The sequence below is a fragment of the Homo sapiens genome, chromosome 3, assembly GCF_000001405.40.
Source record: "Homo sapiens chromosome 3, GRCh38.p14 Primary Assembly".
NCBI lineage: Eukaryota > Metazoa > Chordata > Mammalia > Primates > Hominidae > Homo > Homo sapiens.
Window position 1 is genome coordinate 39,290,182 of NC_000003.12, and position 17,101 is coordinate 39,307,282.

Consider the following 17,101-nt stretch of genomic DNA (forward strand, 5'->3'; position numbering starts at 1 on the left):
TAAGGGAGGATTCAGGAAGCAGGGGCAGTTCTAGATCAGGCACTGTCAAAAAACAGGGGCAGTTCAGTGACTGAGTGTCTTAGTGGATTTTATCTGGGGGGATTGAAGTGGGCTAGAGTCATCATTGCTAAAGAAGCAGCAATCCCTCATGCCGATCAGAGGTGGGGATGTTTAGTTTTGTGGTTGTGGAGTGGTCTTCTTTGAGCCTTTTCCAAACATGGTCACAGTGTGTGGGAACATCACAGTCTGGCAGCTGACAGGCAAGTTTTCACTTTCTTTTTTCATATTAGGGAATCCCAAGTGGTACAATCTGCTAAATGTGAATGTAAAAGGAAAATAAAATCTCGGGACCTTCATTCACTATGCCAAAGGGAGAGATTAAGCTGGAAGCTGAGTCACAGAATAAACTGCCTTCCTTTTGTTCCTAAGAATATAGCTACAGATAAAAGGTCAGATAGGGCCGGGCGCAGTGGTTCACACCTGTAATCCCAGCACTTTGGGAGGCCGAGGTGGGCAGATGACGAGGTCAGGAGTTTGAGACCAGCCTGGCCAACATAGTGAAACCTCGTCTCTAGTAAAAATACAAAAAATTTGCCAGGCATGGTGGTGGGCGCCTGTAATCCCAGCTACTCAGAAGGCTGAGGCAGGAGAATTGCTTGAACCTGGGAGGCGGAGGTTGCAGTGAGCTGAGATCGCGCCATTGCACTCCAGCCTGGGGGGACACTGCGAGACTCTGACTCAAACAAATAAATAAACAACAACAAAAAAATAACAGTCAGATAGAAGGCCAGGTGTCTCCACAGGTAGCTGCCCTATGCTTACTTTATCTTACGTAAACATTTGCTGAACACCAGATGAATAAATAATTGACTTTTCTTTTCTTTTTTTTTTTGAGACAGAATTTCACTCTTGTTGCCCAGGCTGGAGTGCAATAGCGCAATCTCAGCTCACTGGAACCTCCACCTCCCGGGTTCAAGCAATTCTCCTGCCTCAGCCTCCCAAGTAGCTGGGATTACAAGGGCCTGCCACTATGTCCACCTAGTTTTTGTATTTTTAGTAGAGATGGGGTTTCACCGTGTTGGCCAGGCTGGTCTGGAACTCCTGACCTCAAGTGATCCACCAGCCTCCGTCTCCCAAAGTGCTGGGATTACAGGTGTAAGCCACTGCGCCCAGCCCATAATTGACTATTTTGGTATTCTGCCTTTTTTCACGTGCAACATGTAGATTCAGTCATGTGACCATACATGTGACCATACGCTCCCTCTTTCCCCTCCCGCCTACTTGTCCTCTTCAAATATTGAAGCACTCAAAATCCTCTTTGGAAAAAAGCACAGATCACAGGTTGTTCTTGGGATTTTGTGTTCCTTTTTTGGGAGGCACATCCTTAACCTTGGCAAACTAAGTCTCTAAATTTATTGAGACCTGTCTCAGATACTTTTTGGTTTATAGGAACAATGAAAAGGACAGTTATGAAACACATGTGCAGCTCACTCCATGGTTTACAAAGCACTCCCACAGGCACCAAGAGTGATTATTTCCAACTCTTCCTTTCAGGTGAGGAAACTGAGGCCCAAGAAAGTTAGAGAAGTAACTTGAAGACACTCAGCTGATAGGTTGGTGGGAGGGCCACCACAGGTCACAAATTTACCTACATGCAGTGTTTGGCCTTGGAAAGCAGGGCTGTTTCTCTAAGAGTCACTGAACCTACAGCAGATGCCTTCGGGGTCTGCAGAGCTCCTTTCTAAAGGGCTTTCTCCTGGCTCTAGGATAGCAGTAGGGATGTGGAAGGAAGGGCTGAATGACAGGTTCAATGAAATGGTTCCAGTGAATGGAAAGCTTAGGGGCGCCCCCTTGTGGTAATCACATGAAGTGCTGCTCCAGGTCTGGGCTGAGACGGGTGTGGGCAGCAAGGTCCCCTCTAAGGCAACAAGAGCAAGTGCCAGGGATTGAGCACCTGCCTTGGGTCAGGCCCTGTGCACGTGATGGTCAGGGACTCATTTGACCCTCAGCCCGGCAGCCTGAGAGCTGGGTGTTCTCAGCCTGTGTGAGAGATGAGAAAACAGAGATGAAGGCAGAGTTTACCCATGAGAAGAGTGGTGGAGCTAGGCTGGAAGACCCGGTCCAGTGGCAGAGCTGCTGTTGTCAGGTGGAAGCCCCTTCCCATTTCTAAGTTCCTTGTGACTTCCTAAAGTCAGACCCTCAACTAGACTGTAGCACCGAGGAGCTGCTTCTGACTTTGTAAAGGGCCTCCTGGTTTTACAAGGTGTTTTCATACTCCTCATCTCTCATAAGCCACACAGAATCCTGCAAAGCAGGGTTTTTTAGGGATGATTGTCTCCACTTGAAAACCAAGAAAACAGAGGCACAGAGATAATAACAGTTAAAACATAGTAATAGACACTGTTTATTAAATGTTTACCATGTGCCAGGACCTGTGCTAAGTAAGTGCCTTCTATTTATTATTTTGTTTAATCCTCCAGCAATGCTAGTAATTGTCCTCATTTTACGGATGAGGATAAGGAGGCTCAGAAAAGCTGAGTGTCTCTCCCAAATTACACAGTTCAGGAACTGGAGCTGCAGTCTGACTCTGGAACCTGAATTCTTACTTACCACACTGTACTTAACAAGTGTGACTCACTGTAGGCACCAGTCTGGTAAAGGATGAGCACAAACTGGCATCTGTCTGCTTTGACACCCTAGACAATCTTCTTTCTACAACATCACACAGGTTCAGATGTCCTCTTTCAATATCTGGAGGTAATGATATAGCTAGAAACAAAACAAAACAAAAGACCAGTTACAGTCAGTTCTTTGGGGTAAAAATGTTGGAAAGACTAATGAGGGCATACTCAGGGCCCCCGAGAGGGGGTATGCACTTGCTGTACTATGAGAGTGAACTAAGGTCTAGGTCAAGCTCTAGGCCAAGCCTATGACCTAACCTGGCTGTAATTCACGTAAAGCTGCTGTGTGTGCTAGCTGCTTCCTGGAATATTGTTCTAAAGCACTTCTGGCAGGTGTCTGAAGCCTGTGCCAGTGAACCAGTCTTTCCTGGGAGTAGTGGTTGCAATATTATGATGTCCGGAGCTGTGCTGTCCAATACGATGGTCACTGGCCACATGTGGCTATTGAGCCCTTGAGATATGGCTAGTCTCAGTTGAAATGTGATATAAATGTAAAATATTTGCCAGATTCTTAAAGACTCAGTATTTAAAAAGAAATGTAAACTATCTCATTAATAATTTTTATGTTAATGACATGATGAAACTATATAATATGCCTTACATTAGATGCCTTACATTTAATATCTTATTAAAATTAACTTTACCTATTTCCCTTTGCTTTTTCAATCACACCAGGAAATTTTAAATTACCTACATGGGCCGGGTACGTGTAGCCACTATGAACTCATTTCAGTTCTCAAACGCCCTAAGCTTTCTCCAGCCTTGACCCCTTCCCCTCCATCCTCACTACTTAGGTAGCTCCTTAGGCAGCAAGTCTGTTCTATAGAGACCTCCTGTGACCCCCTAAGCTATATTAGGTCCCCCACTCTGTCAATTATCTCAGTCCATTATTTCTTCTTTGTGAAATTGATGACACTTCATCACCATCCTCTTATGTGTGGATGTGTTTAATGTCTGTCTCCCCCACTAAACTGGAGCATTATGAGGGTAGGGATGGTGTTTGTGCAGCTGTGTCCTGGTGTACACACAGTCACTCTCACAAGGATTTGTCCATGACTGCTTGCTTGCACAATTAGGAGAGAAGTTGCCACTGGCCGTCGTCGTCATCCAGTCTGAGCCGGGCACTCTGCATGCCTTATCCTCACTCCCCACGGCAACCTTCAGGGGTGCGCCACTGCCACATTTCTGCTGTGGAGCAGCCCAGCGGCTTGGGAAGGGAAGTCACTTGCCCACAGTCTCCTTGTGGGGGAGTGCCCAGGCAGGACTCGAAGCCAGGCCTGGCTGCTTCCCACTCTGTGTGCCTCCTTCCTTGCCAAGGGTGCCCCTGTTTTCAGGTCCCATCTCAGAGAGACTGCGCTCATCCTGGCCAGCCTTGGCTCTGCTCTGTTCTTTGGGAGATCCCAGGGTCAGAAGACCAGGAGGCCAGGTGGGTGATGGGTGTAGATGCTGAGTGCATGGGCCGGGGGCACTGAACCCCAAGCTTGGGGTTGGTTCCAGCCAGATGGGAGCATAGGAGCTGACAGCAGGTCCGTGTGGCCTTGCTCCTCCCAGGTGCAACCCTAGGGGTCCCACACAGCGTGCTGAGGTGCTTGCCCTTACCTCCCAATTCCTCACGGGTATGAGTCCATGAGAATAGTATGGGGTGCATGGACGACCAGGCTGGCAGAAAACAACCTTGACAGGCCGGATGTGAGCAACAGCAGAAAAAGTCAAGCACTTCGATCACAGAAGAGCAAGGGCCTGGTTTGAAAGGGCTTCTTTGAGAAGAGACTGAAAGGGATGTTCTGAGGACCTATTGACAAGACGAGCTAACCACTTCACAAGGGGCCCCTGCCCTCCTCTCAGTGGGAGCCCTGCACAACCCCACTCCGAATTCACCCACATCTTAGAACCCAATGAGCAGGCCCTGCAGTCCTGCTTTCCTAGTCCCCTGCCTGGCAGAGAAACGCTCGAGGAGACAGTAATGTTGATTCAAGTTGGCCAAAAACAGCAAAAGTTCTAAAAGCACAAGAATAACAAGGGATCTGCCGGATACTGAGTGGGGCAGAGATCCTCCTGGGGGAAGGGACACAGGAGTGGAGAGGTCAGAGGCCCTGGCTGGGGGAAGGATGAAGCCAGGAAGTCCACATGACAGGCTCCCCAGTGTCCTGGGAAATGTCTGTGGGCCCTACTCTTGTTCTGGGCAAGGGGTAAGGCAGCCAGACACAGGGGGCAACACCTGACCCTGTGCTGTCTGGAGTTATCACTGGAGGCTCAGAGGGAAAAACTGCATGAACCATCTCAAGGGTTCCTTGAATTCAGCTTTGCACATAAAACTCACGTCGCACTGGTAGGCTTTGAAGATTCCACACTGTGAATGACCAGGCCACAAAGGCATACCCACTCAAGTGACACCTAGGCTGCAGGACCAACCAGAAAGGCCTTTGGAAACCCCCTCCCATGGACAGCTGGCACACAGAGGCTTCATGAAACTCCATTTACTCAGGGTCATTGATTCCTAACAATGGGCGATACTGGGGTTCAATGTATGACTTCATTTGGAGTTTCACTTTGAGTGAATAGTACATTGTATATGTTTTCGCTTCACGGTGAATAAGAGCTGTGCACAGATTGACTGGGAGTAGAAATTGACAGCTATTTTAAAAACTGCTTTTTAGTCATTCTTTTAACCCTTCTCACAGCTGTATGTCAGAAGCAGGTTCTGGCTGGCTGGAGTGCTGAGCCCTAACATGCTGTGCCTCAGTTTGCTGCTGTGTACAATAAGAGGAAGTGACCATGTTCTCCCCTAGAACCTCTCCAGCTCTACACCGCTGGTGTGCATGCCCTCTGTTTGCCAGATCACCCAGTTCTAGGAGACAGGGCATTCTCTTGTAGATGTACTGCATGAAGTATTGAGCTAGGCTAAGGGTGGATGCAGAACTTTGAATTCCAGTGAGTCTGTCTGGAAGCCTCTGAGACATACCAATGTCATATCCTGGGAGGGATGGAAGACTATGGCCTGTGGAAAAGAAAGAGGGAGAGAGGGGAAAAAAGGAGAAAAGAAGCAATTTCCAGATAATAGAGGTGTAAGAATGTCTAGAGGACCCCCTCCTGATATAGAACACCTAGGATGCTGGATAATTACTCAAAAATACCTTTTTAAATAAATGGTTGATCTGGAAAAAAGGTGAAGAAAATCCTCAGAGGCAGAATGCAAATCTGCTGGGTGAAGGAAAGGCTGGAGCTCACATTCACCCTGGGCCCTCTGTGGCCCCTTAAGGCCGGGAGCCTGGCCTTCATGGGTCATGTGCCTGCAACGTGGAAGACAAAGACAAGTTCTGGGCTAGGAAGGGTGAGATTCTATCTGAAGCCCAAACAAAACCAGTATCCCCAAAGGGGAGCTCCCTTTGTAAGTGAAGTAAGAGTCCCACCCCAGTCTCATTTCCACACAGAGGGGAAATTATATAACGATGCCTACATTGGCTTTGGCTCCAGTGAGTAGAAAAAAAGAAAAGTCCTCTCCAGAACTCTCAGCCACAAACCTGTGTTCATGCATATTGGGGCTGAATTTCACACTTCCTGTGTGGCCAAAAAGCCAATCAAACACAGAGGTCCCAGGTTGGAAGTACCCCAGAGTACTGGGTGAAGTAAAGGCAAGTCCCCTCTGGAGGAATGTGCGTTACAACTGGGCCTCAAGGAATAGCACCATTTCCATCAGGGCTTGCTTAGTTCCTTCCCTAGGCAACAGAGGCTGAGGCAAAGCCTGCATGGTGATGCCATATCAGAATGTGAAATTCAACAGGAACAAAGTGCAGGAAGAAGTGAAGTGAGGCAGGGAAAGAGGAAAGCAAACACAGAGTGGTGCATTCCTGAGCTGGCCATAGCTACAGCAGGAAATGTAGCTGGTTATGCAGGCTCTCTGCAAAAGGCCCATGGAATGGCCCACTGCAGTAATTCACACTTGTAATCCCAATGCTTTGGGAGGCTGAGGTGGGAGGATCAATTGACATCAAGAGTTTGAGACCCAGCCTGGACAACATAGTGAGACCCCATCTCTACAAAAAATTTAAAAAATTAGCCGAGTGTGGTGGCACACAGCTGTAGCCCCAGTTACTCAGGAGGCTGAGGTGGGAGGATCACTTGAGCCCAAGAGTTCGAGGCTGCAGTTAGCCATGATCATGCCACTGTACTCCAGCCTGGGTGACAGAGTGAGACCCTGTCTCTAAGAAGCTTAAAAAGCCCCTGGAACCACTGCTTCTTGGAACTGTTGGCTGTGGAAACAAAGGACAACAATTCATTCCTCACCCCTTTCTCTTCTCTTATGTCTCTTTGATCAACGTTTTCTTCTTTGTTTTTTTTTTTTTTCTTTTTTTTCTTTTTTTTTTTTTTTTGAGACAGTCTCACCCTTGTCCCCCAGGCTGGAGTGCAATGGTGCGATCTTGGCTCACTGCAACCTCCGCCTCCCGGGTTCAAGTGATTCCCTTGCCTCAGCCTCCCAAGTAGCTGGGATTACAGGCACCTGCCACCATGCCCCGCTAATTTTTGTGTTTTTAGTAGAGATGAGGTTTCACCATGTTGGCCAGACTGGTCTTGAACTCCTGACCTCAGGTGATCCACCCGCCTCAGCCTCCCAAAGTGCTGGGATTACAGGTGTGAGCCACCGCTCCCGGCCAGGTCAACATTTTCTTTATGGAGCATTAACTTCCCTGAACTTTCAGGTTGTGTTACCTAGGCTCTCTAGTTAGCCACTGGGGAAATCAGAGCCTCCATGGGTCCAGGCAGATCAGGCCTAGAAACCAGAGCTGTTGTGTCTCCCAGTGTTGTGGGCATGATGGAGGCAGTGCCAAAGCCCAGCCGTCATCCCTGGGGAAATGAGACAAGGAAGGTGGAGGCCTAGACTTGACAATCCTGGAGATTGCATGAGCCACCTGGGAATGCTGTGTCTGGAAACAAGCAGATAAGGTTCAGAAGGCGAGCAGGGTTGAGGAGTCCTGGGGAGGCACAATAGCTATGTCTAGTATGGATGTCAGTGAAAATAGATAACACACTTAGGAAAATTCAGGGATGGTTTATTTATAAAGGGCTACTTATACAGATATGGGCAAGTCGAGGAACCACAAGGACTAGTGCAGTAACCTAAACCTCACAGTAGTAACTGCACTACTACTGTGCCACTGGTGGTAGCAGAACAATCTGTTGCCACCTTTAGGCTTAAAAGGACAAAAGGACACTGCTGGGGGCTGCTGCCAGGACTCAAGTGTAAGCCACTGGCAGTGACCCTCCTGCCCCCAGCAGTGGAGCTGCTATGCATTTACAAGTACCTGGAGGACAGGCTACCCTGACTGCAGCTGCCACTTGGAGGTGAAACGTGCACTCCCCAGCCACCTGACTATGGCTGCTGCCACTGAAAGCAACCCTGTCCATCCTAGTAGCAGGGCCACAGCTCAGCCACTGCTGCCCCAATCTGAGCATTTCACCAGGGATCCAGAATCACCCCATCCCTGCCTACCACAGCCAGTGCCTGCAAACACCATCGGGGGCCTGAGAACCCATCGGCCTGGCCCAGCTCCATATGCCTGCAGTGCCCAAGCATGCTCTCTGGGGTTCTGGGGATCAGCCAGCACCATCCACCATCATTGGCACCTGAGCATGCCTCCTGGGAGGCAGAAGGCAGGCCAACCCAACTTGCTATCATCACCACAGCTGATACCACCCCACGTGCAACCTGTTGGCCTGGGCACTTTCCTGAACAACCCATCTCAGCCACCACCAACACCAGTGCAAATTGTTTGGGAGCCTGAGGGTTGTCCTACCACTGCTACTGCAATGGCCTATAGTATGCCTGCTGCCAAGGAGCCTGAAGACCTGCCAACCTGCCCAGCCTGCCACTGCAGCTACTGGCTCCTAAGCAAGCCACCTGGAGTCCAAGAATCAGCCCACCTGGACCCACTAAAAACAGTGTTGGTATATGTCACCCTGGGGCCCAAGGATAGGCACACTCAGCCTGCTAATGTCCCCACCAGGGCCTCAGGACTGGCCCACCTGGTGTCCCCAACCCCAACAAAACTTCACCACAGCCTCCACTAATAACTGCACCCTAAGCCACTGAGGAAATCACAGACATCACGGGTGATGTTTACAGCTGAAGAAATCATAGGTGACTACACTACTGCACACACTCAGAATCAAAGCTAAAGTGCCTTACCCAACCAACACAATAGGTACATTTTCAGGAAAAATTCCTCCCCTATAAAAGGAAATTCAAAAAATTAGGAAAAGTGACTTATACATCACATGCACAGATAACAATGTAAGGACACAAGGAACATGAAAAAGCAAGGAAAAAAGACACCTCCAAAGGAACACAATACTTTGGCAACACAGTCCAATGAAAAAAGAAATTTATGAAATCACAGAAAACAATTCAAAATGATAATATCAAAGAAGCTCAGTGAGATGCAAGAGAACACAGATAAACAATACAAAGAAATCAGGAAAACAACTCAGAATATGAATGAGAAATCTGACAAAAAGATAGATATCATAAAAAAGAACCAAGTGTAAATTCTGAAACTAAAGAATTCATTGAATGAAATAAAAAATACATTCAAAAGCTTCAACAGTACACTAGATCAAGCAGAAGAAAGAATTTCACCTAGCTAGAGCAATTAGGCAGGAGAAAAAAATAAAGGGCATTTAGATTAGAAAAGAAGAAGTCAAATTATCCTTATTTGCAGATGATATGATGTTATATTTGGAGAAACCTAAAGACTCCACCAAAAAACTATTGGAACTGATAAACAAATTCAGTAAAGTTGCAGGATACAAAATCCACATAAAAAATCAGAGCATTTCTATATGTCAACAGTGAACAACTTGAGAAAGAAATTTTTAAAATCCCTTTACAACGTCACAGATAAAATTAAACACCTGGGAATTAACTCAGCCAAAGAAGTGAAAAGTCTCTGTGATAAAAACTATAAAACACTGATGAAAGAAATTGAAGAGAGCACCAAAAAATGGAAAGATATTCCATGTTCATGAACTAGAAAAACCAATATTGTTAAAATGTCCATGCTACCCCAAACAATCTACAGATTCAATGCAGACTCTATCAAAATACCAATGACATTCCTCACAGAAATAGAAAAGAGAATCCTAACATTTATATGGAACCACAAAAGACCTAGAAATCCAAAGGTATCCTGAGCAAAAAGAACATAATTGAAGTCAGAACGTATTATCGGACTTCAAATTATACTACAGAACAATGAAAACCAAAACAGCATGATATTGGAATAAAAACAGATACACAGACCAATGGAACAGAATAGAGAACCCAGAAAGAAGTCCACACACCTACAGTGAACTTGTTTTTGACAAAGGTGCCAGGAACACACACTGGGGAAAAGACAGTCTCTTCAGTAAATGGTACTAGGAAAAATGGATAAACATATGCAGAGGAATAAAACTAGACCCCTGTCACCATATACAAAAATCAAATCAAAATGGATTAAAGACTAAGTCTAATACCTCAAACTATGAAACTACTATAAGAAAATATTGGAGAAACTCTACAGGACATTGGCCTGGACAAAAAATTTCTGGAGTAATACCACCCCACAAGCATAGGCAACCAAAGCAAAAATGGGCAAATGAACAAAAAAACACATCAAGTTAAAAAGCTTCTGCACAGCAAAGGAAAAAATCAACAAAGTGAAGACACAACCTACAAAATGGGAGAAAATATTTGCAAACTACCCATCTGACAAGGGGTTAATAAAAAATGTGTAAGAAACTCAAACAACTCTATGGGAAAAAATCTAATAATCCAATTAAAAATGGGCAAAAGATTTGAATACACATTTCTCAAAATAAGACATATAAATGGTAAACAGATATATGAAAAAGCACTCAACATTATTGATTATCAGAGAAATGCAAATCAAAACTACAGTGAGATATCATCTCACCCCAGTTGAAATGGCTTTTATCCAAAAGACAGGTAACAGTAACTGCTGAAGAGGATGTGGGGAAAAGGGTACTCTTGTACACTCTTGGTGGGAATGTAAATTAATATAACCACTATGGAGAACAGCTGGGAGAGTCCTCAAAAAGCTGAAAATAGAGCTACCAAATGATCCAATAATCCCACTTCTGGGTATATACCCAAAAGAAAGGAAATCAGCATATAGAAGAGACATCTGCACTCCCATCTTGTGGCACTGTTCACAATAGCCAAGGTTTGGAAGCAACCTAAGTGTCCATCAACAGATGAATGGATAAGGAAAATGTGATACATATACAAAATGGAGTACTATTCAGCCATAAAACAGAATGAGATCCTATCATTTGCAGAAACATGGATGGAACTGAAGGTCATTATGTTAAGTGAAATAAGCCAGGCACAGAAAGACGAACATCACCTGTTCTCACTTATTTGTGTCATCTAAAAATCAAAACAGTTGAATTCATGGAGATAAAGAATAGGAGGATGGTTACCAGTGGGTGGGAAGTGTGTTGGGGGGTGGAGGAAGGTGGGGATGGTTAATGAGTACACACAAAAAAATAGAAAGAATGAATAATATATGGTATTTGATAGAGTGACTATAGTCAAAATTAATTGTACATTTTAAAATAACTAAAAGAGCATAATTGGATTGTTTGTGACACAAAGGATAAATGCTTGAGGAGATGGATACCCTATTTTCCATGATGTTATTATTATGCACTGCAAACCTCCATCAGAATATCTCATGTACCCCCATAAATAGATATGCCTACTATGTTCCCACAAAAATTAAAAAACAAAATTTTGGGCTGGGCACAATGGCTTATGCCTGTAATCCCAGCATTTTGGGAGGCCAAGGTGGGCAGATTGACTAAGCCCAGGAGTTCAAGATCAGCCTGGGAAGCATGGAGAAACCTTGTCTCTACAAAAAAATACAAAAACTAGCCAAGCATGGTGGTGCATGCCTGTAGTCCCAGCTACTTCGGAGGCTGAGGCAGGAGGCTTGCTTGAGCCCAGAGGCAGAGGTTGCAATGAGCTGAGATTGCGCCATTGCACTCCAGCCTGGGTGAAAGAGCAAGACCCTGTCAAAAAAAAAATTAAATTAAAAAAAGACTTTCAGAATTTAACGACAGGTTTTTTTGAAATAAACCAGTCAGATCAAAATAAAAAAGAATGAATAAAACCTACATGACATACGGGACACCATAAAGCAACCAAATATTTAAATGTTTGGTGTCTCAGAAGGCAAAGAGAAAATAAAAGGGGTAGAAAACTTATTTAATTGATTAATAGCTGAAAACTACTCAAACCTAGCAAGAGATTTAGACACCCAGATAGCGTTTCCCATATAGAAACATTCAAACATCCAGATACAGTTTCCTAAATAGAAACAATTCAAAAAGGTCTTTTCCAGTGCACATCATAGTCAAACTGTCAAAAGTCAAAGACAAAGAGAGAATTCTGAAAACAGATGCAAGAGAAAAGTGTCTAGTCACTTATTAGGGAACCCCCATCAGACTAACTGTGGATTTCTCAGCAGAAAACTTACAGGCGGGGAGAGAAAGGGATGATATATTTAAAGAGCTAAAAGAAAAAAAATGAAACCAAAGGATATTATACTCAGCAAAGCTATCTTTCATAAGTGAAGGAGAAATAAACTCCCAGACAAGAAAAAGCTGAGGAAATTTATCACCACTAGATGGGTCCAATAAGAGAAATGCTTAACAGAATCCTATACCAGGAAAGAAAAGATGATAACTACCATGATGAAAACACATGAAAATATAAAATACTGCTAAAGAAAACAAGCAAATAAGGAAGAGAAAATGCAGATGTTACCACTACAGAAAACCAGCAAACTACAGTGATAAACAGAGAGAAAGACAGGAACAAAGGATGTACAAAACAACCAGAAATTGATTAATAAAATGACAGAAATAAGCCTTCACATATCAATAATAATAAACCTTGGATGTAAATGGATTCAGCTTTCCACTTAAAAGATATAGACTTGGCCAGGTGTGGTGGATCACAACTGTTATCTCAGCAATTTGGGATGTTAAGGTGGGAGCATCATTTCAGGTCAAGAGTTCAAGACCAGCCTGAGAACATAGAAAGACCCTGCCTCTACAAATAAATATATACATTTATAAAAAAGGTATAGACTGGCTGAATGGATAAAAAACATGATCAAACTATGTGCTGCCTGAAACAAACCAATCTCATCTGTAAAGACATGTATGGGCTGAAAGTAAAGGGAGGAAAAAAGATATTCCTTGTGAACAGAAACCAAGAGCAAGCAAGAGTAGCTATACTTGTAACAGATAAAACAGACTTTAAGTTGGCTGGGCGCAGTGGCTCACATCTGTAATCCCAGCACTTTGGGAGGCTGAGGCGGGCAGATCACGAGGTCAGGAGATTGAGACCATCCTGGCTAACATGGTGAAACCCCATCTCTACTAAAAATACAAAAAATTAGCTGGGCGCGGTGGCGGGCGCCTGTAGTCCCAGCTACTGAGGAGGCTGAGGCAGGAGAATGGTATTAACCCGGGAGGTGGAGCTTGCAGTGAGCTGAGATGGTGCCACTGCACTCCAGCCTAGGTGACAGATCAAGACTCCGTCTCAAAAAAAAAACAAAAAACAAACAAACAAAAAACAACCCTTTAAGTCAAAAACACGAAAAAGGAACAAAAGGTTACTATATAATGATAAAGGGATTAATTCAGAAAGAGGATATAATAATTCTAAACATATATGCACCCAACTCTGGAGAACCCAGATATATAATGCAAATATTATTAGATCTGAAGGGGTATCTAAAGGGTACAGACCCCAATACAAAAATAGTTGGGGAAATTCAGCATCCCACTCTCAGTGTTAGATAGATTATCTACATAGAAAATTAACAAATAAATGTTGTATTTAAACTAAACTTTAGACTAAAGGGACCTAATAGATGTTTACAGAACATTTCACCCAACAGCTACAGAATATATATCTCCTCAACAGCACATGGAACATTCTCCAGGATCGGCCATATGTTGGTACACACACACACACACACACACACACACACACAACTCAAAAAGTTTTAAAAACTTGTAATCACATCAAGTATCTTCTCAGACCACAACAGAATAAAACTAGAAATCAATAACAGGAGGAACTTTGGAAACTGCACAAATATATGGAAATTAAAGAACATGATCTTGAATTACCATTAGGTCAAGAAAGAAATTAAGGAGGAAATAAAAAAAAGTCAAGAAACAAATGAAAATCAAAACACAACATACCAAAACCTATGAGATACAGCAAATGCAGTGCTAGGAGGAAAGTTTACAGCAATAAACCCTTACATCAAAAAGTAGGAAGGAGGTGGCTGGCAAGATGGCCGAATAGGAACAGCTCTGGTCTGCAGTTCCTAGCGAGATCAATGCAGAAGGTGGATGATTTCTGCATTTCCAACTGAGGTACCTGGCTCCTCTCATTGGGACTAGTTAGACAGTGGGTGTAGCACATGGAGGGCAAGCCGAAGCAGGGTGGGGCACTGCCTCACCCAGTAAGTGCAAGGGGTCAGGTAACTCTCTCCCCTAGCCAAGGGAAGCTGTGAGGGACTGTGCCCTCAGGAACAGTGCACTCTGGCCCAGATACTACACTTTTCCCACAGTCTTCTCAACCTGCAGACCAGGAGATTCCCTCAGACGCCTATGCCACCAGGGCCCTGGGTTTCAAGCACAAAACTGGGCGGCCATTTGGGCAGACACTGAGCTAGCTGCAGGAGATATTTTTCATACTCCAGGGGTGCCTGGAATGCCAGCAAGACAGAACTGTTCTCTCCCCTGGAAAGGGGGCTGAAGCCAGGGAGCCAAGTGGTCTAGCTCAGTGGATCCCACCCCCATGGAGCCCAGCAAGCTAAGATCCACTGGCTTGAAATTCTCACTGCCAGAACAGCAGTCTGAAGTCAATCTGGGATGCTCCAGCTTCTTTGGGGGGTGGGGGTGTCCGCCATTACTGAGGCTTGCATAGGCGGTTTTCCCCTCACAGTGTAAACGAAGCCTCCAGGAAGTTTGGACTGGGTGGAACGCACTGCAGCTCTGCAAAGCAAGCCAGACTGCCTCTCTAGATTCCTCCTCTCTGGACAGGGCAACTCTGAAAGAAAGGCAGCAGTCCCAGTCAGGGGCTTATAGACAAAACTCCCATCTCTGTGGGACAGAGCATCTAGGGGAAGGGGTGGCTATGGGTGCAGCTTCAGCAGACTTAAACATTCCTGCCTGCCAGCTCTGAAGAGAGCAGCAGATCTCCCAGCACAGTGCACGAGCTCCGCCAAGGGACAAACTGGCTCCTCATGTGGGTCCCTGACCCCCATGCCTCCTGACTGGAAGACATCTCCCAGCTGGGGTCAACAGACACCTCATACAGGAGAGCTCTGGCTGACATCTGGCAGGTGCCCCTCAGGGACAAATTTTCCAGAGGAGGGAACAGGCAGCAATCTTTACTGTTCTGCAATCTCCACTGGTGATACCTAGGCAAACAGAGTCTGGAGCAAACCTCCAGCAAACTCCAGCAGACCTGCAGCAGAGGATCTGACTGTTAGAAAGAAAACTAACAAACAAAATAGAATAGCATCAACGTCAACGAAAAGGATGTCCACACAGAAACCCCATCTAAAGGTCACCAACATCAAAGACCAAAGGTAGATAAATCCACAAAGATGAGGAAAAACCAGCACAAAAAAGGCTGAAAGTTCCAAAAACCAGAGTGCCTCTTCTCCTCCAAAGGATCACAACTCCTCACCAGCAAGGTAAAAAACTGAACAGAGAATGAGTTTGATGAAGTGACAGAAGCAGGCTTCAGAAAGTGGGTAATAACAAACTCCTCCGAGCTAAAGAAGCATGTTCTAACTCAATGCAAGGAAGCTAAGAACCTTGATAAAAGGTTAGAGGAATTGCTAACTAGAATAATCAGTTTAGGGAAGAACATAAATGACCTGATGGAGCTGAAAAATACAGCACAAGAACTTCATGAAGCATACACAAGTATCAATAGCCAAATCAATCAAGCGGAAGAAAGGATATCAGAGATTGAAGATCAACTTAATGAAATAAAGTGTAAAGACAAGATTAGAGAAAAAAGAATGAAAAGGAACAAACAAAGCCTCCAAGAAATATGGGACTATGTGAAAAGACCAAGCATACATTTGATTGGTGTACCTGAAAGTGACAGGGAGAATGGAACGAAGTTGGAAAACACACTTTGGGATATTATCCAGGACAACTTCCTCAACCTAGCAAGAAAGGCCAACATCCAAATTCAGGAAATACAGAGAATACCCAAAGATATTCCTCGAGAAAAGCAACCCCAAGACACACAATCATCAGATTCACCAGGGTTGAAATGAGGGAAAAAATGTTAAGGGCAGCCAGAGAGAAAGGTCGGGATACCCACAAAGGGAAGCCCATCAGACTAACAGCAAATCACTCTGCAGAAACCCTATAAGCCAGAAGAGAGTGGGAGCCAATATTCAACATTCTTAAAGAAAAGAATTTTCAACCCAGAATTTTATATCCAGCCAAACTAAACTTCATAAGTGAAGGAGAAATAAAAACTTTTACAGACAAGCAAATTTTGAGAGATTTTGTCACCACCAGGCCTGCCTTACAAGAGCTCCTGAAGGAAGTACTAAATATGGAAAGGAAAAATCAGTACCAGCCACTGCAAAAACATACCAAATTGTAAAGACCATCGACACTATGAAGAAACTGCATCAACTAAAGGGCAAAATAACCAGCTAGCATCATAATGACAGGATCGAATTCACACATAACAATATTAATCATAAATGTAAATGATTTAATACCCCAATTAAAAGACACAGACTGGCAAATTGGATAGATAGTAAAGACCCATTGGTGTGCTGTATTAAGTAGACCCATCTCATGTGCAAAGACACACATAGGCTCAAAACAAAGGGAAGGAGGAAGATTTACCAAGCAAATGGAAAGCAAAAAAAAAAAAAAAAAAAAAAAAAAAAAAGGAGCAGGGGTTGCAATTCTAGTCTCTGATAAAACAGACTTTAAATGAACAAAGCTCAAAAAAGACAAAGAAGGGCATTTCATGATGGTAAAAGGATCAATGCAACAAGAAGAGCTAACTATTCTAAATATATATGTACCCAATACAGGAGCACCCAGATCAATAAAGCAAGTTGTTAGAGACCTACAAAGAGACTTCGACTCCCACACAATAATAGTGGGAGACTTTAACACCCCACTGTCCATATTAGATCAATGAGACAGAAAATTTACAAGGATATTCAGGACTTGAACTCAGCTCTGGACCAAGTAGATGTAATAAATATCTACAGAACTCTCCAACCCAAATCAACGGAATATACATTCTTCTCAGTACCACATTGCACTTATTCTAAAAT

At 44.3% G+C, this 17,101-nt stretch overlaps 1 protein-coding gene across 1 annotated transcript in view, besides 4 other annotated features; it reads right to left on the reverse strand.

Moving 5' to 3' along the window:
* CX3CR1 (C-X3-C motif chemokine receptor 1) overlaps positions 1 to 2,785 on the reverse strand; it is a 29,473-nt gene extending 26,688 nt beyond the window's left edge. Inside the window, exon 1 of the mRNA XM_047447538.1 lies at positions 2,611 to 2,785. The gene's annotated coding sequence lies outside the window, so the exon portion shown is untranslated. The remainder of the gene's footprint in view (positions 1 to 2,610) is intronic.
* Positions 4,711 to 4,780: an enhancer, noted in NCBI's record as "active region_19696". NCBI's record gives its function as "activates an Ori minimal core promoter by ATAC-STARR-seq in GM12878 lymphoblastoid cells {active_cell/tissue: GM12878}" and the evidence as "EXISTENCE:reporter gene assay evidence [ECO:0000049][PMID:35858748]".
* Positions 4,821 to 4,960: an enhancer, noted in NCBI's record as "active region_19697". NCBI's record gives its function as "activates an Ori minimal core promoter by ATAC-STARR-seq in GM12878 lymphoblastoid cells {active_cell/tissue: GM12878}" and the evidence as "EXISTENCE:reporter gene assay evidence [ECO:0000049][PMID:35858748]".
* Positions 5,001 to 5,160: an enhancer, noted in NCBI's record as "active region_19698". NCBI's record gives its function as "activates an Ori minimal core promoter by ATAC-STARR-seq in GM12878 lymphoblastoid cells {active_cell/tissue: GM12878}" and the evidence as "EXISTENCE:reporter gene assay evidence [ECO:0000049][PMID:35858748]".
* Positions 5,963 to 6,012: an enhancer, noted in NCBI's record as "active region_19699". NCBI's record gives its function as "activates an Ori minimal core promoter by ATAC-STARR-seq in GM12878 lymphoblastoid cells {active_cell/tissue: GM12878}" and the evidence as "EXISTENCE:reporter gene assay evidence [ECO:0000049][PMID:35858748]".